Source organism: Homo sapiens, chromosome 7 (assembly GCF_000001405.40).
Source record: "Homo sapiens chromosome 7, GRCh38.p14 Primary Assembly".
In the NCBI taxonomy this organism is placed as follows: Eukaryota; Metazoa; Chordata; class Mammalia; order Primates; family Hominidae; genus Homo; species Homo sapiens.
This window is the reverse complement of record NC_000007.14, coordinates 33,601,509-33,627,390: the sequence shown is the minus strand read 5'-3', so window position 1 is coordinate 33,627,390 and position 25,882 is coordinate 33,601,509. Positions and strand designations below refer to the sequence as shown.

Below are 25,882 nucleotides of genomic sequence, written 5' to 3'. Positions count from 1 at the left end.
TCCATAAGGGCTCTGCCCCTGCAGCAGACTTCTGCCTGAACATCCAAATGTTCCCATACATCCTGTAAAATCTAGGCAGAGGCTCCCAAGCCTCAACTCTTGCCCTTTATGCACCTGCAGGCCTAACATCGTGTGGAAACCAAAGCTTACAGCTTGCACCCTCAGGAGCAGCAGCCTAGATGTATCTGGGACCCTTTTAGCCACAGCTGGGGCTGGAATGGCTGGGATGCTGGGAGCAGTGTCCTGAGGTTGTGCAGGGCAGTGGAAAACTGGCCCCAGCCCACAATACCATTCTTCCCTCCTAACCCTCCGGGCCTATGATGGGAAGGGCTACCACAAAGTTCTCTGAAATGCCTTCCAGGCATCTTCCCCATTGTCTTGGCTAGTAATATTTGGCTCCTCTTTACTTATGCACATTTCTGCAGCCAGCCTGAATTCCTTCCCAGAAAATGGGTTCTTCTTTCTACCACATGGTCAGGCTGCAAATTTTCCAAACTTTCACACTCTGCTTCCCTTTTAAATATAAGTTCTAGTTTCAGGACATCTCTTTGCTCATGCACATGACCATATACTGTTAGAAGCAGCCAGGCAACATATTTAATGCTTTGCTGCTTAGAAATTTCTTCTGCTAGATACCCTAAGTCATCACCCTCAAGTTCAAAGTTCCACAGATTTCTAGGGCCTCCAACCTCTTTGCTAATGCCTAACAACCTCCACAATGCCTCCAACCTCTTTGCTAATGCATAACAAAAGTGACCTTTGGTCCAGTTCCCAATAAGTTCCTCACCTCTATCTGAGACCACCTCAGCCTGGACTTTATTGTTCATGTCACTATCAGCATTTTGGTCACAACTTTAACAAGTCTCTAGGAAGTTCCAAACTTTCTGTTACCTTTTTATCTTCTTCTGAGCCCTCCAAACTGTTCCAACCTCTGCCTGTTACCCAGTTACAAAGTTGCTTCCACATTTTCAGGTACCTTTATGGCAATGCCCCATTCCTGGTACCAATCTTCTGCATTAATCTGTTCTTGCATTGCTATAAGGAACCACATGAGACTGGATAATTTATAAAGAAAAGAGGTTTAATTGACTTCACAGTTCTGCAGGCAGTACAGGAAGCAGGGCTGGGGAGGCCTCAGAAAACTTAGAATCACAGCGGAAGGTGAAGGGGAACCAAGCATGTCTTACATGGCCAGAGCAGGAGGAAGAGAGAGAAGGGAGAAGTGCTACACATTTTTAAACAACCAGATCTTGTGAGAACTTACTCACTATCATGAGCACAGCAAGGGGGAAGTCCACCCCCATGTTCCAATCACCTCCCACCAGGCCCCTCTCCTCCAACACTGAGAATTACAATTCAATGTGAATTTAGGTGGGGACACAAATCCAAACCATATCACTTCCAAAATGGATACATATTCATAGCTAGTCTAGTTAAACTAGACTACCCACCATCCTAGTAATTTCTCTTTTTAATTTTCAGACATATAATTTAGTGTGACAACTTAGAAATGTTATGAGAGCTTAACTAAGATGATTATATATTTATTCTAATTGCTAAGATAAGTTATAAACAACTGCTAATCCTTAACTGTGGCTAAGTAAACAGTTAAGCATATCTTATGACCGTATCTTTATGAGGAAAAATATCAGCATTACCCACCTAAGTAGGAGAATTGGATCTGTTAGGCTCCATCACTAACAGACATAAAAATCATGGTAAGGTGCTTCCTGAAATTAATGTATTAATTACAATAGCAGTTGTTTACATGAAACTTAAGAGTCACTTTAGGAATGTGCAAAGGGAGCCTGACCCTTGCACCAGCAGTGATACAGTTGGTAATCTACATAATAAAAGAAAAAATCCAGAGGATCAGTAGTCATAGTAGATAGAAGACAGGTTTTTAAATCAAACAGACTTAAATTTATTTCCTTAAGTCTTCCACCTATGTAACCCTGGGCAAATTTCTTGGCAGTTTCCTCATGTGGACAACAGAAATAATACCTTCTTCATATGGCTGTTAAGATGAGTAGGTGCTATAATATGAGTAGAATTCAGGGCCTGGAACATAGTAGGAACACAATAAAGGCTCATTTTCATAATTTTATTATTATTTATAAACCTGTACAACTCATTTCTATTTCATCTCCAGATAAAATTTTCATTCTTCCTGTCATATTTCTAGATTTTGAGCCCATATAGAATAGGACCCAAGGTACTATAATTTTGTGCTTCGTCAGGTGGTAATCAAACAAAAAAATGACAAAACATACAAAATGACCTTTCCCTCATAGAATAGTTGGGCACTTGTTGCTTCACATGAATTTCCAATAAAACTCCTTATCAATAAACAGGTACATCATTGGTTGGTGTCAATGAAGCCTAGCAGACACATCTACTGAGAGTACTGGTTCAGGACTACAATTATGGCCGTACACATTTCTTAACCCAGGGTGATTACTGTTTATGATGTTTCAATCGTTGAAAGGATAACCTGTACCAGACCAGATGTGCCTTCAGCTGGGTACTCACTGAGCTAGCTTCCTCTATAATCAGGATGACCTACACCCAGGACTATTCTATTTTACACCTGTTATTTCAGCATAATTATTAATAGTGCCCCCTTTAACTCCCCCAAAATGTTACAGTTTGGATAATCAATTACATGGTTTCTCTATTTACAATTATCTTTTATCAACTATATTCTGCAACTCATTTGGTGGCTGTCATAAAGTACTATTGCGCTGTTGTTACTCATGAAGCTGATACAGGGTTAAGACCTATATTAACATCTGGAATGTGTGAAACACCACCTGGTGAAGCAAATTACTTTATGCCAAGCTGGTGGTGAATTTAAAGAAAACACATGGAAAGTTAATTAGAAAGTAAAAGAGGAGAAATAGATCTCAACAGTACTGCCAAACAGAATGTTTACAGGATGAGGAGATACAGATGGGATTGTTAGCTCAGAAGTTAACAGCTGCAAAATTTTCTGCCCACTAGCAATCCTTGGCTTCTAATGTGGCCACTGTGTGGTAATATTCAAGGGTTGAGGGTGGAGGTGGGTGGTAGGTGGTGGGTGGAAAAGAAATAGACATCTAAACAGACAAGGATAGGTATTTATAGTTATAAAAGTCATATTCAGTATAGTATTATATATAATTTTACATTTAGAAAACTAAAATAGCCATTGTTTTCTTAAACCAAGGGAAATAAAGTCTGACAAAAAGCTCTTTTGGCCAAGATACACAGAGATTTGCAAATTGGGCACATCTCTCTCAAGGGCTGAAATTTATCAGAATCATGAGGGAAATTAGAGGCATGTCGTTTTCTGTTTTTAAATTTTTTATGGTAAAATAAATTAAACAGTCAAAAGAGTAAGACTTATATGATTTTTTTTTTTTTAATAATAGAATGAATGAAAGATTTGCTCACCAACCAGCTTAGGAAATAAAACAGGCCTTCTGGCCCCTCCCCAGTGGTATTTTCTCTCTCCTCAACTTCCAAGAAGTAACCTCAATTTAAAAATTTTGTTAATCTTTGCCTTACAGTTTGCCATCTAGGTATATACCCTAAAACAATATGTTGTTATGTTTGCCTGATTTCAGACTTTCATAAACAGAATCGTAATATATACATTCTATAATTTGCTTCTGTCTCTGAGATTCATCCATGTTAATCCTTGTAGCTTTAATTAACTTTTGTTGCTGTGTAGTACCCCACAGTAAGAATATATTGAAATTGGTCAAATCTACAGTTGATGCCTTTTTAGATGGTTTGGGGGTTTGGTTTTTCTTTTTTTTAATCATGCTTTTATGAGCATTCTCAAAATTCCTATTGGGCAAGATTTTCTCTAAGTTATACATCTAGGAATGTAATTCCTGGTGATAGGTTATGTGCACGTGCAACTTTACTAACAAATGCCAAACTCTTGGCCAAAACAGTTGAGCTGAGCCAACAGATTCAACAGATGTGGGTATTTTCTGTTCTATGTCCTTTCCAACTGGTATTTGTAGACTTCTCCTTTTTCTCCTATCTGGTAGATGCAACAAAATATTGTGTTTTAATTTGCATTTCCTCAATTACTAATGAGATTAGGTTTTTTTTTTCCAATTTTAGCATATTAATTGTTTATCTTCTGCAAGCCATCCATGTATGTTTTTGCTCATATTAAGATGTTGCTTTCTTATCAAACTGCTGGAGGTTCCTTAGACACTCTAAATACTAATTCTTTGCCAGTTATATGCACTGGAAATATTTTCTTCCACTTTATGACATGATTTTTATCTTTTCTTATAGTGTCTTTTGATGACTATAAATTCTTAATTTTAAGGCAATCAGTATTTTTCTTTTAGGCTATGATGAAATTAAGGAATCCTTCACTGCACTGAGGTCATAAAGACATTCTCCTACATGTGTTCCTAAAATATTTGTTGTTTTGTCTTTCACATTTAAGTATTTAATCCAACCAAAATTGACTTTTCTGTATGGTTGAAGTATGAGTCTAATTTCATTTTTCTCAATATGGTTATCCAATTGCTTCAGCAACACTTATTGAAAACTATTTTTACCCACTGATCTGCAATATTATCTCTGTCATATTTGGACATTCTGTTTCTGGAGACATTATTATGATGCATTGGTCTATTAGTATATCCCTACATTAATTCCATACTATGTTTTAGCTTTACAATTAGACTTGATATCTGGTGGAGCAAATTTTTCAAGAATGGCTGTTTTGAGGCCTTTGCTCTTCCATGTAAATTGTATTTTATGTATGTATTTTCTCAAGCTTTATTAAAGTATAAATGACAAATAAAAATTGTATATATTTACGGTATACAAAGTGATGCTTTGATATTGAATGTGTATACGCTGTGAAATGCTAATTAACATATCTAGTATTTCACATACTTTTCATTTTTTGTGTGGTGAGAGTATTTAGGATCTACTCACTTAACAATTTTCAAGTATACATTATTACTAACTATAGTCACAATGTTTAACTGAAACTTGGTATGCTTCAACCAACACCTCCCCTTCTTCATCTGAACCCCACAAACTAGAACCTGAGAGCCACCATTCTACTTTCTGCTTCTATGAGTCTGACTTTCTTACATTCCACAAATAAGTGAGGTCATGCAGTATTTTTCTTTTTTATTTATTTTTTTTGTTTTTATTTTTTGAGATTGAGTCTCCAGCACCGAGGCTGGAGTGCAATGGCGCTATCTCAGCTCACTGCAACCTCTGCCTCCTGGGCTCAAGCGATTCTCCTACCTCAGCCTCTGGAGTAGCTGCAATTACAGGTGCGTGCCACCACACTCAGCTAAATTTTGTATTTTTAGTAGAGATGGTGTTTCACTATGTTGGCCAGGCTGGTCTCAAACTCCTAACCTCATGTGATCCCTCTGCCTTGGCCCCTCAAAGAGCTGGAATTACAGGCATGAACCACTGCGCCCAGCCCATTGTAGTATTTGTCTTTCCATGCCTGGCTAAGTTCACAAAGCATAATGTCCTCTAGGTTTATCCACATTTTCACAAATGACAGGATTTCCTTCTTTTTAAAGGCTAAATAGTATTCCACTGTATGTACTACCACATTTTCTTTATCCAGGTTAGGTTAATTCCATACCTTGGCTATGGTGAATAATGGTGCAATAAACATGGGAATACAGGTATCTCTTTGACATACTTATTTTATTTCCTTTGGATATGGTGGGATTGCTGGATGATATAGTAGTTCTATTTTTAATTTTTTTAAGAATCTCCATACTGCTTTCTTTACACTAATGGCTGCACTAATTTACATTTCCAACAATGTGCAAGGGTTCCTTTTACTCCACTTTCTCGCCAGCACTTTTGTCTTTTTGATCATAGTCATTCTAAAAGGTGTGAGGTGATATCTCATTGTGGTTTAATTTATTTTCCTGATGATGAATGATGTTGAGCATTTATTCATATACCTGTTGGCCATCTGTATGTCTTCTTTTGAGAAATGTCTATTCAGGTCCTTTGCCCATTTTTCAATCAGATTCTTTGTTTCCTTGCTATTGAGTTTTTTGTGTCCCTTATGTATTTTGGATATTCATTAGATACACGGTTCACAAATATTTTCCCCATTCCATAGGTTGTCTGTTTACTCTTTTGATTGTCTCCTTTGCTGTGCAGAGCTTTTAAGTTTAATGAAATCCCCTTTGTCTATTTTTGCTGTTGTGGTCATGTCCAAATAATCACTGCCCAGATCAATGTTAAGAAGCTTTTCCTTATGTTTTCCATTAGTAGTCTGCAGTTTCACATCTTACTTTTAAGTCTTTTTTCATTCATTTTTGTATATGATGTGAGATAAGGGGCAATTTTTCATTCTTCTGCATATGGATGCCCAGGTTTCTCAGCACCATTTATTTTCTCCATTGTGTATTCTTAATACCTTTGTTAAAGATCAGTTGACTGTAAACACATGGAATTATTTCTGGACTCTGTTATGTTCCATTGGTCAGTGTTTCTGTATTTATTGCAGTACAATGCTGTTTTGATTACTATAGCTTTGTAGTATATTTTAAAATCAGGTAGTGTGATGCCTCCAGCTTTGATCTTTTTGCTCAGGACTGCTTTGGCTATTTAGAGTCTTTTGTGGTTGCATACAAATTTGAGAATTGATTTTTCTATTTCTGTGAAAAACGTCACTGGAATTTTGATGGGTTTGTATTGAATCTATAGACCACTTTGCAGAGTATGGACATTTTAACAATATTAATTCTCCTGATTCAAAAAGACAGGATATTTTTTCATTTGTGTTTTTTTCCTTTTTTTTCATCAATGCTTTATAGTTTTCAGTGTATAGATCTTTCACCTCCTTGGCTAAATTTATTCCTGATATTTTTTATTATTGCAAATGGGATTTTTCTTGATTTCTTTTTCAGGTAGTTTCTTGTTAGTGTATAGAAATGCTACAGATTTTTATATGTTGATTTTCGTCCCGCAACTTTACTCAATTTATTGCTTTTAATAGTTTTTAAAAGGAGTCTTAAGGGTTTATTTAACAGTTTTTTTAAGGAGTCCTAAGGATTTACTATACACAAGATTATTAATCTATTCAGATTTTATATTTCTTCATAATTCAGTCTTGGTAAGTTGTATGTTTCTAGGACTTTGTACATTTCCTCTGGGTAATCCAATTTGCTGGCCTATAGTTTTTATATTAGTCTCTTAAGATCTTTTTGATTTCTGTGGTAGAGGTTGTAATGTCTCTTCCTCCATTTATAATTTTATTTGCATCTTCTTTTTTTCTTACTCTAGCTAAAGGTTTGCATTATTTTGTTTGTTTTTCAAAAGTGCAACTCTTCATTGATCTTTTCTATTATTTTTCTAGTCTCTATGTATTTCTGCTCGGATCTTTATTATTTCATTCCTATGCTGACTTTGGTCTTAGTTTGTTCTTCCTTTTCTAGTTCTTTGAGGTGTAACACTAGGTTATTTATTTAAAATCTTTCATATTTTTTGATGTAGGCATTTATTGCTATAAACTTTCCTCTTAGAACTGCTTTTGCTATATCCCATAAGTTTTGTCTGTGTTGTGCTTCTGTTTTCTTTTGTCTCAAGATACTTTTGGATTTCCTTTTTGATTTCTTCTTTGACCCATTGGTTATTCAGGAGTATTTTGTTTAATTTCAACATATTTGTGAATTTTCCAATTTTCCTGTTATTATAGTTTCATAGCATTGAGGTAAAAGAAGATACTTAATATTATGTCAATCTTCTTGGATTTGTTAGGACTTGTTTTGTGACCTAACATATGATCTATCCTGGGTAATGTTCCATGTGCATTCAAAAATATCATGCGTTCTGCTGCTGTTGAATGGAATGTTATACATATGTCTGTTAGGTCTACTTGGTCACTAGTTTTGTTCAGGTCAGCTGTTTTTCTTATTGATTTTCTGCCTGGATGATTTATCCATTGTGGAGAGTGGGGTCTGAAGTCCCTTACTACTACTGTGTTACTATTTGTTTCATCCTTCAGTTCTATTAATATTTTCTTTATGTATTTAGGTGTTCCAACATTGGGCAAATACATATTTACAATCGTTATACCTTCTTGATGAATTGACCACTTTATCAATATATAATTATATATATCTTTGTTTCTTGTGACATTTTTTGACTAAAGTCTATTTTGCCTGACGTAAGTATAGACACCCCTGCTCTCTTTTGTCTACAGTTTTCATGAAATATCTTTTTTCATTCCTTCATTTTCAGGCTATGTGTATTTTTAAAGGTAAAGTGAATCTCTTCTATGCTGCATGTAGTTGTGTCTTGTTTTCTAATCCATTCAGCCACTCTGTCTTTTGATTGAAGAATCTATTTATATTTAATGTAATTAATGAGAAGGACTTCTATTGCCATTTTGTTGTTTCTAATTGTTTTGTAGTACTTTTGTTCTATTCTTCCTCTCTCGCTGTCTTCTTTGTAATTTGATAATTTTTTTCATAGTGGTAAGCTTTCTTTCTCTTTCTCTTTTGTGTACCCACTACAGGTCTATTCATGTGTGTGTGTATGTGTGTATGTGGTTACCATGAGGCTTATGTAAAACATCTCATAGTTATAAGTCTATTTTAAGCTGAAAAGAACTTCACTTGCATATGATAAATCTTAAACTTCTCACTCACATTATGTTATTAATGTCATAATTTACATTTTAAAAAAATAGATGGGGGTCTTGATATATTGCCCGGCCTGGTCTGGAACTCCTGGGCTTAAGTGATCCTCCAACCTCAGGCTTCCAAAGTGTTGGGATTACAGGTGTGAGCCACTGTACCCAGCCATAATTTACATTTTGTAGATAATGTGTATCTGTTACCAAATTATCATAAGTATAGTTATTTTTATTACTTTTGTCTTTTAATTTTAATACTAGAGGTCAAAGTGATTTATGCACCACCATGATGGTATTAATGTAGTCTCAATTTAACTACATTCTCATCTATATAGTGAGTTTTATACTTTCATAGGTTTTCATATTGTCAGTTAATGTCTTACTTTTTTTTTTTTTGAGACAAGGTTCTGCTCTTTCACCCAGGCTGGAGTGCAGTGATGCGATCACAGCTCACTGCTGCCTCAACTTCCTAGGCTCAAGTGATCCTCCCATCTCAGCCTCCAGAGTAGCTATGAACACAGGCATGTGACATTATGCCCAGCTAATTCTGAAACAAAAAAATTTGTAGAGACAGAGTCTCACTATGTTGCCCAGGTTGGTCTCTAATTCCTGGCCTAAGGCAATCATCCTGCCTTGGCCTCCTAAAGTGTTGGGATTACAGGCATGAGACACCATGCCCAGCATGTGTCCTTTCATTTAAACCTGAAGAACTCTCTTTAACATTTCTTGTAAGGTAGATCTAGTAGTGATGAACTCCCACAGCCTTTGTTTGCCTGGGAACATCCTTATCTCCCCTTCATTTTTGAAGAACTTCCATAATGCATATGTTAGTTGGCTTGATTATGTCCCACAATTCTTATAGGCTGTCTACATTATTTTATCTTTTTGTTCCTCAAACTGCGTAATCTCAAATGACTTGTCTTTGGGCTCTCTGATTCTTTCCTCTGCTCAATTGAGTCTCCAATTGGAGCACTCTTGAAGTTTTCAGTTCATTCACTGTGTTCTTTAGCACTAGAATTTGTTTGGTTCTTTTTCATGGTTTTTATTCCTTTGTTGAACACTTTATTTTCTTCATGCATTGTTTTCCCAATTTTGTTTAGTTGTCTACTGTGTTTTCTTGCAGTTCACTGAGCTTCTTTAAGATGATTAATTTGAATTATTTCTCAGGCACTCAATAAAGCTCCATTTCTTTAGAGCTGGTTACTGGTGCTTTATTTTACTCCCATGACAGTGTCAAGTTTCCCTGATTATCTGTGATCCTTGTGGCCATGCACTGATGTTTGCACATTTGAAGAAGGAGGCACTGACCTCTTTATCATTACAGAGAACTGACCTCTTTATCATTATGTTTGGCCCCTCTTTATCCCTGATAACTTACTTTCTCTGAAGTCCCTGTCTGAAATTAATACATTGACTTCTGCTTTCTTTTGATTAGTGTTATGGTATATACTTCTCCATTCCCTTCTTTTAATCTATATGTGTCTTTATATTTAAAATGAATTTCTCGTTGACAAGATATAGTTGGGTCTTGTTTTTTGATTCATTAAGACAATGTATCTTTTAATTGGTGTATTTAGATCATTAGCATTGAAAGTGATTATTGATCACAGTTGTCCATCAATGGATGATGGGATAAAGAAAATATAGTATATTTATATATACACTATGGAATACTACCCGTTTATTTAAAAAAAAAGAATGAAGTCATGTCTTTTTTGCAACACTGAATGAGCTGGAGGCCATTATCTCAAGTGATATAACCCAGAAACAGAAAGTCAAATACCACATGCTCTCACTTATAAACAAAAGCCAAATATGTGTACACATGGACATAGCAAGTGGAATAATCGACATTGGAGACTCCAAAAGGTGGAAGGTTGGGAGAGGGGTGAGGGATGAGAAATTATACATGGGATATAATGTATACTATTTGGGTGATGGTTACAGTAAAAGTCCAGACTTCATTCACTATGCAATATATCCATGTAACAAAACTGCACTTTACTCCCTAAATCTATAAAAAGAAAAGACAAAAAGCAAAAATTAAAATGAAAAAAAACCCAAAGTGACTATTAACATAACTGGATTAAGATCTATCATATTTGTTACTGTTTTCTATTTCTTGCCCACCCCCCATTTTTTTTCCTATTTTTCTCTTTCACTCTTTTTCTTCCTTTTGTGGTTTCATTGAGTATTTTATATGATTCCATTCTCTATCCTTTCTATATATATATATATATATATATACACACACACACACATATATTATATAAAGTTATATAACATATATGTAACTTTTTAGAGGTTGCCCTAGTATATCTACAATACATATTTACAACTAATCCAAGTCCACTTTCAAATAACACTATACTTTTTCATAAGTAGTGCGAATACCTTATAACAACAAAATAATCCTAATTCTTCCATCCCATCTCTTGTATCATTGTTGTCATTCATTTCACTACGTGTATGTATATATGTATTCAATATATATTTCATTTCACTTATACATTATATATATATTTTAATACATTGTTTATTATTTTGAATAAACATTATCTGTTAGATCAATCAAAACTAATAAAGATAAAAATTTTTATTTTACTTTCACTTACTCTTTCTCTGATGCTCTTCTTTATGTAGATCCAAATTTCTAACCTATATTATTTTCCTTTTCTCTGAATCACTTCTTTTAACACATTTCTTGCAAGGCTGGTCTGCTGACAACAAATTCCCTCAGTTTTGTTTGTTTGAGAAAGTCTTTATTTCCCTTTCATTTTTGAAGGATCATTTTGCAGGGTACAGAGTTCTAGGCTAGTGAATTTTTCTTTCAGCACTAAATACTTTACTCCACCCTTCTTGCTTAGTTTCTGAGAAGTGGATAGGATTATTTTCTCCTTAATAGGCAGGGTTTTTCCCCTCTAGCTTCTTTCAAGAATTTCCTTTATCTTTGATTTTCTGCAGTTTGAAACTCATATACCTATGTGTGGATTTTTAGTATTTACCCACTTTGATGTTCTCCGATCTTCCTGGCTCTGTGATTTGGTGCCTGACATTAATTTGAAAACATTCTCAGTCATTATTGCTTCAAATATTTGTTTCTTTTTTCTCTTTCTGGTATTCCCATTATGTGTAAGTTACATCTCTGTAGATGTCTAACATTTCTTGGATATTTGTTCCAGTATTTTTTTTTCTTTGCTTTTCTGTTTGGGAAGTTTCTATTGACATATCCTCAAACTCAGAAATTCTTTCCTCAGCCATGTCCAGTCTACCAATGAGCCCATCAAAAGCATCTTCATTTCTTTTACAGTGATCTCTAGCACTTCTTAATTCTTAGAATTTTCATCACTCTGTTTACATTGCCCATTTGTTCTAGCATGCTGTTTATTTGATCCAGTGCAGAACCCTTAGTATACTAGAGTTGTTTTAAATTCCCATTCTGACAATTCTAACAATCATGCCATATCTGACTCTGGTTCTGATGCTTGAAATGTCTTTTCAAACTGTATTTTTGGCCATTTAGTATGCCTTGTAAGTTTTTCTTGGCAGCTGGATATGATGTACTGGGTAAAAAGAACTGTGGTAAACAAGCCTTTAGTAATGTGGTGGTAAGGTTGTGGGGCAGGGGAGGGCACAGAAGGCATTCTATAGTCCTATGATTAGGTCTCAGTGTTGCAGTCAGCTGGCATCTGAACTGCAAACTTCACAAGTCCTTCTTAGCTCCCCACCTCCACTCCTTCAGTGAAACAGGATTGACTGTGGACTGACATCAGGTATTTCCCGTCTTTCACGTTGGTTAGGCTCTGTTAAAACTCCAGTAGTTTATGCTCTGGAAAATAGTTTCACTTGAAGGAAGGCCTTGTTAAGAAGGATAGGATGCTCTGGCATATTTCAAAATCGTTTGATTTCCTCTCACACTGTTGGAAACATGAAAGGATTTTCCTTAAATATTCACTTCAGAACATGGTCAAGCTCCTGAAAGGAAAACTCATGAAAGTGTGGAGGCTCCCTTATGACTGGGTCTTCTGGAGTTTTTAACTCTCAGACCTGTCCACTCTGGGCCTCCAGCAATTAGTTAATTACACTTCAGGTTTTCTTGCGCTGATACTAGCTCCCATAGAGGTTTCTGCTCATGGGTTTCTGCTGCAAAAACTTGTGATTCTCTGTATGCACCTGTATTTTTCTCCAAACCACAGGGCAGTGGTTTGCCCTCTGACCTCACTTCTCTGACAGATAAGAAGAGTTACTGATTTTTTTCAGGTTTTCCCTTGTTAGGACAGAGTGACGTTTTCCAAGCTCCTTATATCTGGGACCAAATAAGTACAGACGGAATTTTAAAAATGTATGTATACATAATATAAAAGAAACTACAATATAAAGAGGGTGGGTAATGGGAACCATAAGGCAAATGTCAGTAGGATTCACCTGTAAAGTCATGTGTCACGTTATTGTATTTTTTGTGGCAAGGTTAACTTCTGATATTTTTAATTGTTATAGGATTATTCAAGTTTTCACTTTCTTGTTTAGTCAATTTAAAACTGTATTTTAAAAAGAATAACCATTTCACTGAAGTTTTTGTATTTACTGGCATGAAGTTGTTCAACACAGAATTTAGCAGAAACTATCAATGTGAAAGCTGGTTTGGCACAGGCTGACCTCTCAGGATTTCTGTTTTCATGCTTTTCATGACAGCTCAGCATATCATAAAAAGGCATATTTATTGTATTTTCCCAGCATTTAGTTGTGTCAACTGGTAGAGTTAGTCATGGCATATAGCCTGCCATGCAGAAACAGAGTGTATGGTTGTTCTTTCTTAAATTAGGACATAAGTCTTCAAAGCCTGAGAAACACTTTACTCTAGACTAATGGTAGAAGTCCAAGCCTTGGTGTTATTCATGATATGTCTTTCTCTGTAATATAATGAACCCCGGACTGGGGACAAGAAGCCTTGGCTTCTTGCCCAGGTCACCTATTTTTGTCATTGCTGGGTCACTTTAAGGGAATACTATATACTCTGATCCTACACTTTTCCATCTGTGACTTGGGATGTTAATTTTTTTTCGTGTATGTTGCAAACATAGTGAGGTTGTTGCGAGGATCAAAAAATATCCACTTAAGCGAATGAGGTTTTTGTCACTTTATAGAAGGTATTATTTTTCTGTGTGGCACTACACTAAATGGGATGCATACAAGTCATATTTCCAATTCCAACCCTCCCCTCACAGCCTTCCAACTCTTATCCAAGCAATCCTGATGTACAGCCAGTCTGAAAAACCCCTGTACCACAGTATACATTCTCCATAACATTATGGAGAAGTGAAAATATACAAACTTTGAAGTGACAAGTAAAAGAGCACTACAGGAATTTCACGGTTATAAAAGACGTTAATCAAGGAGAATTCACAATTGCTCTTCCAACCAATAGGGAACAACAGTCTTACATTTTAGGGTTCTTTCAAGCATTTGAAGCCCTTTTCTTTGATTTCCAGAACAATACTTTGAGGATGGTGACACAGGTGGGACAGGCCCCCCACTTTGCAGATGAAATAATAAGAGCTTGGAGATGCTAAACTACATCTTCTAGCTCCCTTTCCTAATTACTTTCTTCTAAAGTTGAGTTTTTGTCATCTTGTATTGCAACTGTCCATTTTCTTCTCTGTTCCCCCACTGAACTGAAAGTTCTTTAAGGACAAGATCCATGTTTTATTGTTCTTTGGAGCCCTGGTGCCCAGGACAATGTCTGAAAACAACTTAATTTTGCTGTTGAATGAATAGATCTCTATTTAGTGCATATAAAAATGAGGTGAAGAGAGGCTAAGTGACTGACACAGATCAGAAAGCACCTTTTCAAGAGGACCAGGCCTAAAATTGAGGCCATCTGATTCCTAGTCATAAGGTCTTTTCTCTATATCATATTGTCTCCTTAAAGAAGTGGACTTTGAGTGGCTGTCTAAAAATAGAATGAACCCTGACCAGACAGAGATGAGTAAAGCTTGGAAAAACATCCGGAAGAGGTACTGGGATAATCAGGCAAACAAGACTCCTAGCAGATGAGCTTTGATGGGATGAAGGAATAGACTACACAATAGAAGATAAGGGAGAGATGACATGAGCCAGTGCCACTGTAGGGACCAATGATATACATGCAAATGATGGGAGGGACTCAAATGAAGGACAAAGACAACCAGGCATCAGAGGAGGTGATGACATTGGAGGGCAGCCTGGGGAAAAGTACATCACTGTTACTGAAATGGAAAGGGAGGACCAGATCCAGATGGCACTGGTTTTAGAAGTAGGGAATGTGAAGTGTATGTGTATGTGTATGTGTGTATGTGTTTTATGATTTGTTATTGACATTTTGGGGGAAAAGTTGAAAATAAATCCCAACTCTCATCCTCTATCCATCCTCATGTGATTAAAGTCTGGAGAATGTTTAATGTTTTCTTTCAGAAATACTTGTTGATTGCTTTTTTCATTTTTGTGAGCTGCTGAGTGCAAAAGATGAGTATTACACACCATACTTTCCCCCAAGGAATGAGTAACTTAATTTTTATCCCAAAAGACTTAGTAAAATAAAAGCTTCAGTTTCCTCACTTAACGACTAGAGATCTAAAGTAATTTCCTAATTTTCATCCTTAAATAAATAACAGTTCACTTAAATGTTATCTGTTAACTATTTCTACACAATAGAAGATAAGGGAGAGATGACATGAGCCAGTGCCACTGTAGGGACCAATGATATACATGCAACTGATGGGAGGGACTCAAATGAAGGACAAAGACAACCAGGCATCAGAGGAGGTGATGTTAAGAAATGTTAACTTCTTAATATTAAAGGATATATTTTATCCTTTAATATTAAAGGATTATATTTATTCCTTTATATATTATTATATAATAATATTATATAATAATATTATATATAAGGTTTAAGGTATAATATATACCATATATAATATTATTATATAATAATATTATATAATATTATATAAAGGAATAAATATAATCCTTTAATATTATATATAATACACCTTATATATATTAATATTAATTATTAATTAAGGATTAAATATCAATCATTTAATATATAATATACCTTATATAATAATATTATTAAATAATTAATATTAATTAATTAAATAATATTATTATATAATATATACCTTATATATTACATATAATATATAATATTATATAAAGGAATAAATATAATACTTTAATATTATATATAATATACCTTATATATAATATTACATTATTATAATATATTATATTATTATTATATTAAATATTATAATATTAAAGAAGATAATATTAAAGGATTCAATGAATATTACAGACCTAAATTTCACAAAGTGGTAAGTGACTTGTGTCTGGGCTTAATCAGTACTCTGTTCTAACTGAGAAGATAAAGTTTCTAGATTTTTTTGTTTACATAAAAGAATTTAGTTCCAACTGTTCTTCATATTCAGATGATCTTAATGTTCTTTTGGGAGGCCTGGCACATAGAAATGAGAGTTCACAGGTGACATCATGAACTTCTCTTTCTGGAACTGGTACCAGACGGAATAAACATGATTACTGTAGCCTGTTAAACAGAATTTCATCAATTTAATAGCATTTTAAACCTCTTCACTTTCTCCAATCTGATGATCCTGGAGCCAATGAAGCGGCTGGGCCCTCTTCAATCTGACAGCTTGCTGTGAACTTTTTATCTAAAACCGACCCTTCAGCCAACTGAGATACAAGACTGACTCAGTCCCTTTTGGGACAATTCATGGAGTGGCTGCTAAGAAATAAGCATTAGTAGAACTGTCCCTGAATGTATAAGGTGAAACATCTCTCCACAAAACCAAGACAGCGAACAGAGAATTGCTGTTTTGCTAGTCCATAAAGGTTTGCTGATATTTCTCAGGGAACAATTAATTACTAAAAATGAAAAGTAAAAGTGTACTTACATTTGAGCCCAAAGCTAGGTCGAGGCTCACACTGGCAAACTTAAGAAGACCTATAGTATATTTAAGGGAATTTTGAATACCTCCTTACTGTTATGGTTTGAATGTTTGTTCCCTCCAAAAGTCGTGTCGAAACAGTATTTAGAGGCGAGACTGTTAAGAGGTGATTAGGCCATGGGGGCTCTGCCCTCATGAAGAGATTAATGTCATTATCTTGAAAGTGGGTTCATTATCAAAAGTTGAATTTTGCCCCCTACTCCCTCTTTCTCTCTTGCCCTCTCTTGGCTCTTCTGCCACGCAAAGAACAGCATTGCTTCCTGCCTCTGGAGAATGCAAGGCGCCGTCTTGGAAGTGGGAGTTGGACCCTTACCAGATACCAAACCTTCTGGTGCCTTGATCTTGGACTTCCCAGCTTCCAGAATGCTAAGAAATTAATTTCTATTCTTTATAAATTACCCAGTCTGTGGTATTCTGTTATAGCAGTACAGAAATAAGACACTTACAAAATCTGCCCTTTCCACCCGCCACACTCATAGTGCTATCCCATACATATTTTGGAGTTATTTCAACCATGGAGGAAATTAACAAACCAATAATTTAAAGTGTAGTTTCTATTCTCTCTCTCTATCTCGCTCGCTCACTCTCTCCTGTTATAAACAGATTTACTGTGATGCTAATCAGGCTTAAACTTCAGGGCAGTTCCTTGCCCAGGTGTATGGTCATATGCTTTTGCACAATTTGAAAAAAGACATTTTAATCATGATTGGTGAAAACTACTGTCTCTTCTGCCTGTCTTCCCCTTGTAGCAGGCATTGGAAGGGTGGTGGCCTTGACAATCTGGCTAAAGGGAAGTTGAGTTGGGGAGACATTCAACTTGGGCTAACTGGATATATTTATGTGGATTACAGACAACTCTGTATATGGTTAAATTACTGATAGCTATTCTGCTGGAAGAATGGATTCCAGGAATATCATTACCACCCACTGCTCTCACTTAAGCCAGTGTCATAAGAGGAAGGTGTGGAGCAAAACGCTGTATCACTAAATAAGCATGTTCTATGCAGCCTGGCACCAGAAGCATAAATGTGTTGGAGATAAAATATGATTTGAAACATATGAAATCTGACGTCCTGACCATCAGACATGTAAAAGCAGAAGCAGTAAGATTCCAGTTTCATGGACCCCAAGTCAAAGGAGAATTTCTTGCCTGTTAAGAATATATTTAATAATTCAGAGTATACAATTACAAACTCATCATAAAATAACTTTCCCAATTAACTCCTATATAAAATGGATAAAAGTTATTCTGTCAATAAGCAAATTATAACAAAAACATTTTCAAATCATACCAAAATTAACTCATTAAGATGAGATGATACATTTGAAAGAGAATAAGCAGACTTTGGATTGTCTAATAATCTAGCTAATGAAGAAGAGTAAATCGCATGAACATATTCGAAAAATATTTAAATATCTTCTTGCTGATTTGAAATAAAATACTAGTGGTAATGAAGATCATTTCAATGAGGATTTTGATGATAAACTGGCTAATGAGTTGTCAATTTCCACAAAGACCAATGGAACAAAATAGTGAACCCAGCAATAAAGTCACACGCCTACAGCCATTTGATCCTCAACAAAGTCAACAAAAATAAGCAATGGGGAAAGGGATCCCTGTTCAATAAATGGTGCTAGAATATGTAACTAGTCATAGAAAGAAAAATAAAACTGGACCCCTATCTGTCATTATATACAAAAATTAACTCAAAATGGATAAAAGATTTAAATGTAAGACCTCAAGCTATAAGAATACTGGAAGAAAACCTAGGAAACATCATTCTGGACATTGGTCTTAGGAAACAACTTATGAGTAAGTCCTCAAAAGCAAATGCAACAAAAACAAAAATTGATAAGTAGGACCTAATTAACTAAAGAGCTTCTGCATCATAAAAGACACTATCAACAGAGTAAAAAGACAACCCATTGAATAGGAGAAAATATGTGCAAACTATGCACCCAACAAAGGTCTAATATCCACAATCTATAAGGAACCTAAACAAATAAACAAGCAAAAAACAAATAATCCCATTTAAAAATGTGCAAAAGACATGAACAGGCAAGCATTCAACAAACATGAAAAGATGTTCAACATCAATAATCACCAGAGAAATGCAAATTGAAGCCACAATGAGACACCCTCTCACACCAGTCAGAATGGCTATTATTAACAAGTCAAAAAACAATAGCTGGCAAGGCTGTGGGGAAAAGGAAATGCTTGTACACTTTTGCTGGAAATGTAAATTAGTTCAGCCACTGTAGACAGCAGTTTGGAGATTTCTCAAAGAACTTAGAACTACCATTCCACCTAGTCATCCCACTACTGAGTATATATCCAAAAGAAAATAAATAATTCTACCAAAAGGCATAGGTACTTATACGTTCATTGCAGCACTATTCACAATAGTAAAGACATGGAATCAACCTAGGTGCCCATCAATGGTGGACTGGATAAAGAAAATGTGGTACACGTATACCACAGAATACTATGCAGTTATAAAAAAGATCATGTCTTTTTCAGCAATATGAATGTAGCTAGAGGCCATTATCCTAAGCAAATTAATGCCAGAACAGAAAACCAAATACCACATGTTCTCACTTATAAGTGGGAACTAAACAATGGGTACTCATGGACTTGAAGATAACAACAATAGACACTGGGGATTACTAGAGGTAGGGAGAGGGGCCAAAGGTTAAAAAATAGCTATTGGGTACTATGCTTAGTACCTGGGTAATGGAATCAATTGTACCCCAAACCTCAGCATCACCCAGTATACCCAGGTAAGAAACTTGCATGTGTACCTCCTGAATTTAAAATAAAAGTTGAAATTATCTAAAAAAAAAAAAAGAGAGCTATCAATTGCATGGCTATTTAAAATGTATCACTGCATAAGAAAAATTAAAATGCCCTGATAATATAATCCTAAAAACCTGGCTGACATTACAAATGATGAGTTGTAAAGCTGAAAGAAGCTTTTGCAAACTATCAGTAATTTTTTTTAAAAAAGTCTGATCAACAATTTCAGAGAAAAAATTATCTTTTAATTCACTGTATACAAAATGAAATTACAAATTGTCTATAATTAAAGAAGTGAATAAGAAATGTGTGCAAGAAAATGCAGAATTGTTAAAAAGGTATATCAAGTAGTTAATATAAATATTTGTATAGATTTTGTGATATATATGGTGATTATCAGCTTTTTACAAATGTGACTTGTTATTCTTTTCTTATTCTAAATAAATGTTCATTTTTGTAACTAATGTTGTATTAGAATTTTTATTCATCTTATTTAAAACCTGAATCCTGTGTTTAAATCAATGTTACCCAAGTACTCATGAACAAAATCATTAAGTATTGAATTTTCAAGATTCAAATCTCTCTTCAAAGCCAAATTTAAGAAAAAATAGTAGGACAGTCACATCAGCTTCCTCTCAGCATAAACTGAAATACTAAATTAGGAAGGTTAGACCACAATGTTCTAAATCACCGGCTTCTCCATTTCTCTATGACTTGTTGACTTCTTTTAGGAGATTAGTTGACCTTTTGATACAACAAATATTTACCAAGCAGCGAAAAGAATCCAAGAACAGTTATGTCCAAGGAGCTTGCAAATCTATCCTACCAGGAAAGGAAAACATGACTTCTGAAATACAATAAGTAAGAGAGAGGTATGTAGAGAGGCATAGAGTTCTCCAGGGATTCTAAAGAGCGGAAGATGAATGCCAAGAAAGGTGATTAGGAGAACCTTAAGAGGAGACAGTGGGACTATATTCATTTCCCCATTCCATTATAGAAATGATTTAAGGGGCATATAAGAGAGACACAACAAGAGAGAATACACTAAATGTTGAAGCAAAATAAAAAGACAAAAACGAGGAGAATATAATAAAGGGCCAGAAAATAGGGCTAAAAGTACAGTCCATGATGCCTTGTCCACTTATTCCAAGAGGACCTCGAATGTGGCTCTTGGTGTAGGGATAAGGAGATAATTGATTCAAAATGAGCCTTGAAGTGAAGGGTTGGGGTCTGAGTTTACAATTAAAATGAAATGATGGCAAAAAAATCTGGGAAGTAGGGTGTTGGTAACGTTTTCCCCACATTAGCCAGAATAGAGACCCTCTCTGCTCCAGACATTAAGCACTGGGGAAAGTGGTTATTCCAAGAGGCATCTTACTCTGATTAGGCCTTGGCAGTTGTGCCGTACCATAAGTTATATATTTTCCAGTCCAAAGCAACAAAACCCTTAATGCATGTAATGTCCACATAGCTTCCATAGTTCACCTGCTAAAACATAAAAATAATGCCAGCTAATTCAACACTGCATAAATCACAAGGCCGTTGAGAAGACAGCATCCAATAGAATCCACACAGCCTTCTGTTGCTCTTTCAGAACCATCTCTATAATTGTTTTTGTATTTCACTGATAGGTTTACTTTTTGACATAAAGGACTTAAAGAGAAAATGATAATTTCAGTAAAATTTTATGCTCATATCATGGCTATAAATGATCATAATGATGTTATTTTGATAATATATCTGCATCTCCTAAAAGAGGATGCTACAAATAATAAGTAATACATCCTCTGCAGTTTTTTTTTGACATTTCACATATAGAAAAACCATGAACAACTTTCCCCTTTGTACTGAGAGGCATTCCAAAACTGGCAAAGGCATATTTTTATTTAAATAAATCAATCTCACAACTGTAATTCGAACTTGAAATTAGCAAAGTTTCTTTCACTTCTTACACATAAAAACCTTAAATTTTAACTGTAATAAAGTGTGAATCCTTTAATAACCTGGATTTTTAAAAGGTGCCACCCAATGGGGTAATGAAAAGGGGATGTTAATGTACTAGCTTCCTTGAAAATATTTAAACATTTTCATACAATACTAGAAAACTTCCCTTCTTCCACGTTTAGCTTAATAGAACAAATCACATGAAAGTTTCATAGTGGTTCTTTTATTTATAAAATAATCACATTCAAGTCTTACCAGAGAGTAGCAAAGTCTTCAATTCCTTTCCTTTCCTTTGAAGAAATAATGTAGAGCAATCACTCATAAATCCCTCTAATTATAAATAAAATCCAAGATATTATTTGACAATGAGATGCTTTATTAAACTTGATACATTTACTATATAAGAATTCTGTGAAAAAATGGGGTATGAAATTATTTTGGATCTGAATCTTTGCATTATAAAATCTAACCCAAAACTATGTCATTTCACTGTATTCTGTGACTATTAGCAGATGGATGACCAAAGGCAACTACTTCCTTTCCTGGCAAAACAAGACAAGTTTCAGCTGACTTCCCCATGGTGTTACAAGTTCTCCTAGTGAAGTAAAAAGTCCCAACCCCTCTTTCTATGCATGTCATCTCCAGGAAGGTGAGCTTTAGGAAGCACCTGCGCCAGCCCTATATCTGTGCTTGGCATGAGGTTCACACAGGTTCGGCCTTGAGATGGGGATGTTCCTCTCAACCAAACAACTCTACTTGAATTATTCCGAGACTCCTTGGAGGGGTGAAACTTCTGGAAAAAAAGAGAGTAAGAGAGAAAGAGAGAGAAAAGATCTGAATAGTGACAGGAATACACAAAGGATCAAATTCAGCTGCACCAGTGCTAAGGGGAAGAATGAAGAAATTGGAAAACAAGCAGCTTTGCGGAATGCTCTCTGGTATGACAAAAACTGACCAGATTGTCACTGCTTCTGACTTAACTAACGCTTGTGAAGGCCATCCAGTCTCTTACCAGGCCTGGGTGTCTCTGCAGTGAGATGTCTGTGGTTGGTAAACAGTTCTGTAGAGTCTTGTTCTACTGATCTTTCTTCTAGGTCTGACTCTGGGATTGTAGTACAACCACCTAGTTGAAAAATACAAACAATATTTTAAGCAATGTGTAAGAAAATCTGCCTCTCTACACAGCAATCATAGCTTAGGAACACACTGATCATAAAGATAATAAATGACGTGACAACAATCTTCAGGAGTGGCCTGAAAAGAATAACCTTAAATGTTTCTTTTTGGTGAGAATACTGGGAATGAATTACTGCCCCTAAAGACATATTATACTGATTATGACTTGGCAACAGCAGCAACAGTATTGTCTTTAAATTTATCCTTTTTAAAGTCAGAAAGGACAAAACCTATCCTATAGCATATGTGATATCCAGAATATAAAGGCCCCTCGGCAGGAATTCCCTTTAATACCAGAGCATCAGAAACTATAAAAGAAGCAAAGCACATGAACCATGAGGGAAAGAAGCCTTCCTTGAGGAAAGAGAAAGGTTGCTGGTGTTCTGGGACGGTGGTTGTGGTGGTATTTCTCTGGAATTTGATTCTATTCCTGAATCCCAACACCTTACAGCACAGACACAAACACTTCATAATTCAACAGCAAAGTCATGAACTGCATTGTGGAAGATTTCAATCCAAAGGTGACTTGAGGATGAGCTGGCACTGCTGTGCTTTTGAAGTACTGGGTATAACTCATTTGACTTTATCCACCAAAATCTTGTATGGGAAACTCACAATCATGAGAGAATTTCCTGACTACATCTGCAACTTGATTTGACTGATTTGCCATCATTTCCTGGAAATGTACTAACATGTTGTATACTGTACATGCTTTTTTCCGAAGCCATTCTTCTTGTTAATGAAGTGTGATTTCTTTTTCTGAGGCTTCTCACACACAGAGTCCAAAGCCTCAGCTCTCAAGTTTGGTTTTATGCATAAAGGGGTTTATGAAGCTCACATCATTCTGAGGAAAGAGAGGGTATCAGCAGCACTGATTTCAAAACCACATCATTCAAATGAGAGGGAAGTGGCAAGATCCCAGGTTTGAAGGAAAACACACCTTACTATCCACGCCTCTGCATCAACTCTGAAACAGAAATCGATGCTGAGGGAAATGAGAGAAACACATTTCCACACTCATAAAATAAGAATTAGAGCTATCCTCAGAGATTCCCTGAATAGAAAACATTAGAATTATCCATCAATGCAATGGAACTTGCCCAGCCATACCCGAAAATGACAAGGGCCTTACCCAGAAGGAGAACCAGGCTTATTTTTAATCTCTCCAAAGCCTGTAGATCACAGTAACAAGAACTATCATTATTGAGTACTTTCTAAGGGTTAGAAATCTTGCCCATATTATCTCACTTAATTCCTACACACTACACCATGAAATAGGTATTATTATTATTCTCATTTTATAAGAAAACTGAGGTCTCATGAGATTCAGTAACTTGCCAATGTCACAGAACTCCAGTCTTGTCACACGGTGGGGCTGAGACCTTTGGAGAGGCCCAAAAAGCCAGTTCTTTTCTTCTTCTTTACACTCATCCAACTGAGTAAAAAGGCAAAGGGTATATGCGGTGGTGGCAGGGGCTGAGGGGAGACCTGGAAGACTAATGACAGGGAAGAGCAGAAAGAAGGGATGTGCACCCTGCTGAACAGAACCCTGAAAAAAAAAGGCAGAAAAGTCACTTCTCCATCCCTGAGACAGAGGGAGGTGGGGGAGGCCAGGAATGCTGTACTCAGGCAGCGGCCTTCACACACAAGACAACTTCAGGAGCAAGGAAGAGACGTCCCCCAGCCAACAGATGAGAGCGAGTTTGATGAGCAGTTAAGACAGCTGCCATGTGCTTGGGGACAGGCAGGTCTCCACTGATAAATTAGTGTCCTTTTCATTCCAGCTGACTCAGTATTTTGACAAAACAGAAATAGAAGACTTCCTAGTTCTCTATCACGTGGGCTCAAAAGGAAAAGCCAGTTGCTATAGATTATCAACAATGAACGTAATTTCCTCTCTTCTCTTTGCCCTATCCCACATACAGAGACGGCAAGGTGCCCTGCCCTGGTGCTCTAACCTTCAGGTGCTGTAGTGGACACAGATTGCATGCACCTCCTCAGACTCCACACCCACAGCAAGGGCTGACCAGCCACTTGCCCTGGGAATGCCACCCACCTTTCTTTCATTCCTTCTTTTTTTTTGAGACAGAGTTTCGCTCTTGTTGCCTAGGCTGGAGTGCAATGGCGTGAACTCGGCTCACCGCAACCTCCGTCTCCCAGGTTCAAGCGATTCTCCTGCCTCAGCCTTCATGAGTAGCTGTGATTACAGGCATGCGCCACCATGCCCAGCTAATTTTGTATTTTTAGTAGAGATGGGGTTTCTCCATCTTGGTCAGGCTGGTCTCGAACTTCCAACCTCAGATGATCCGCTTGCCTCAGCCTCCCAAAGTGCTGGGATTACAGGCGTGAGCCACCCTGCCTGGTACCACCCCCCTTTCTTTGGATGCCTCCTGTAGCCAGACTGCCCAACAGCACACCCAGAGTGTCTGCCACTTCCAGTTTGGGAAGAACAATGTTGGTGGGCTCTGGCATCCTGCCCAGCGGGTGCATCATAGGAAAAGAAAAGAAGCCGAAGCTGAGCAGAGAATTCCCCCTCTGCTCCCACCAACTAGGAATATGCCAGATGATTAGTTCTCTTCTGTAGGCCTCGAAAAAAAGGGCTGTGTAGCTGCACCTGCTCAGCCTCTTCATGGCTCTTGGAAAGAGGCACTCCCAGGTGCAGGCAGCACCACTCTGCATGGCCTCACATATTCCCTTGGTTGCTGCCCTTTGTCCTCACCCTCCCTTCCCTGAGTTTGTGTTCTCAAACAGCCATCACTTTAATCCTTGCCCCAGGCTCTGTCCTCTTGAGAAAATCACTGATACTGGGAGTAGTTGTATAACAAGAAGTAGGTCTTCACAATGGAATTTTGAAGTTAGACTGGCCATCCATCTGAAAGCACTAGGGGCTCCATAGCTGGAGGTGAACGGGATGGTAATAGCCCCTGGTGTGCAATTACTTATGCTTTTACCCATGCTTAACTAGGATGATGTGCAGGCAGAAGTCAAGACACTGGGAGATCAAGGGGCTGTGGCATGTAATTATAAGGATTTCAGATGCTGCTTCTGATGACTGCGTATCTTGCAAAAAGAAAATGGCAGCTCATGGGCTAATGGGCAATGGGAGGTAAGTCCACAAATTCGGAAGGCCTCTTTGGCCTTGCTCATGTAATGAGATCACACCAGCCGAACAGGAATCACCTGGGAGCCTGTCAGAAATGCAGAATCTCAGGCCCCATCCCACATCTACTAAATTGACATCTGCTAAGAAACAACAGATGAGTATATCTGATACTTTTGCTAGGAAAAAAATATGTATTTGTT

General features: G+C 36.6%; 1 protein-coding gene across 19 annotated transcripts in view; it reads right to left on the bottom strand.

Annotated features, from left to right (window-relative positions):
* Positions 1-25,882, bottom strand: part of BBS9 (Bardet-Biedl syndrome 9) — a 506,483-nt gene that overhangs the window by 8,377 nt on the left and 472,224 nt on the right. For 12 of the 19 annotated variants that reach the window (NR_145413.3, NM_001348038.3, NM_001348039.3 and 9 more), the window contains 2 exons: positions 22,416-22,526; positions 21,322-22,196 (listed from right to left, as the gene is read on the bottom strand). The exons of 1 other annotated variant lie outside the window; for it this stretch is intronic. Coding sequence is in view for 15 of the 18 variants with exons in the window: in NM_001348038.3 (NP_001334967.1) it covers positions 22,165-22,196; positions 22,416-22,526 (143 nt within the window). In the remaining 3 variants the exon portion in view is untranslated. Of the gene's footprint in view, positions 1-21,321; positions 22,197-22,415; positions 22,527-25,882 lie in introns of those variants that run through there. 6 more of the 19 variants (NR_145412.1, NR_145411.1, NM_001348036.1 and 3 more) reach the window with 3 other exon arrangements.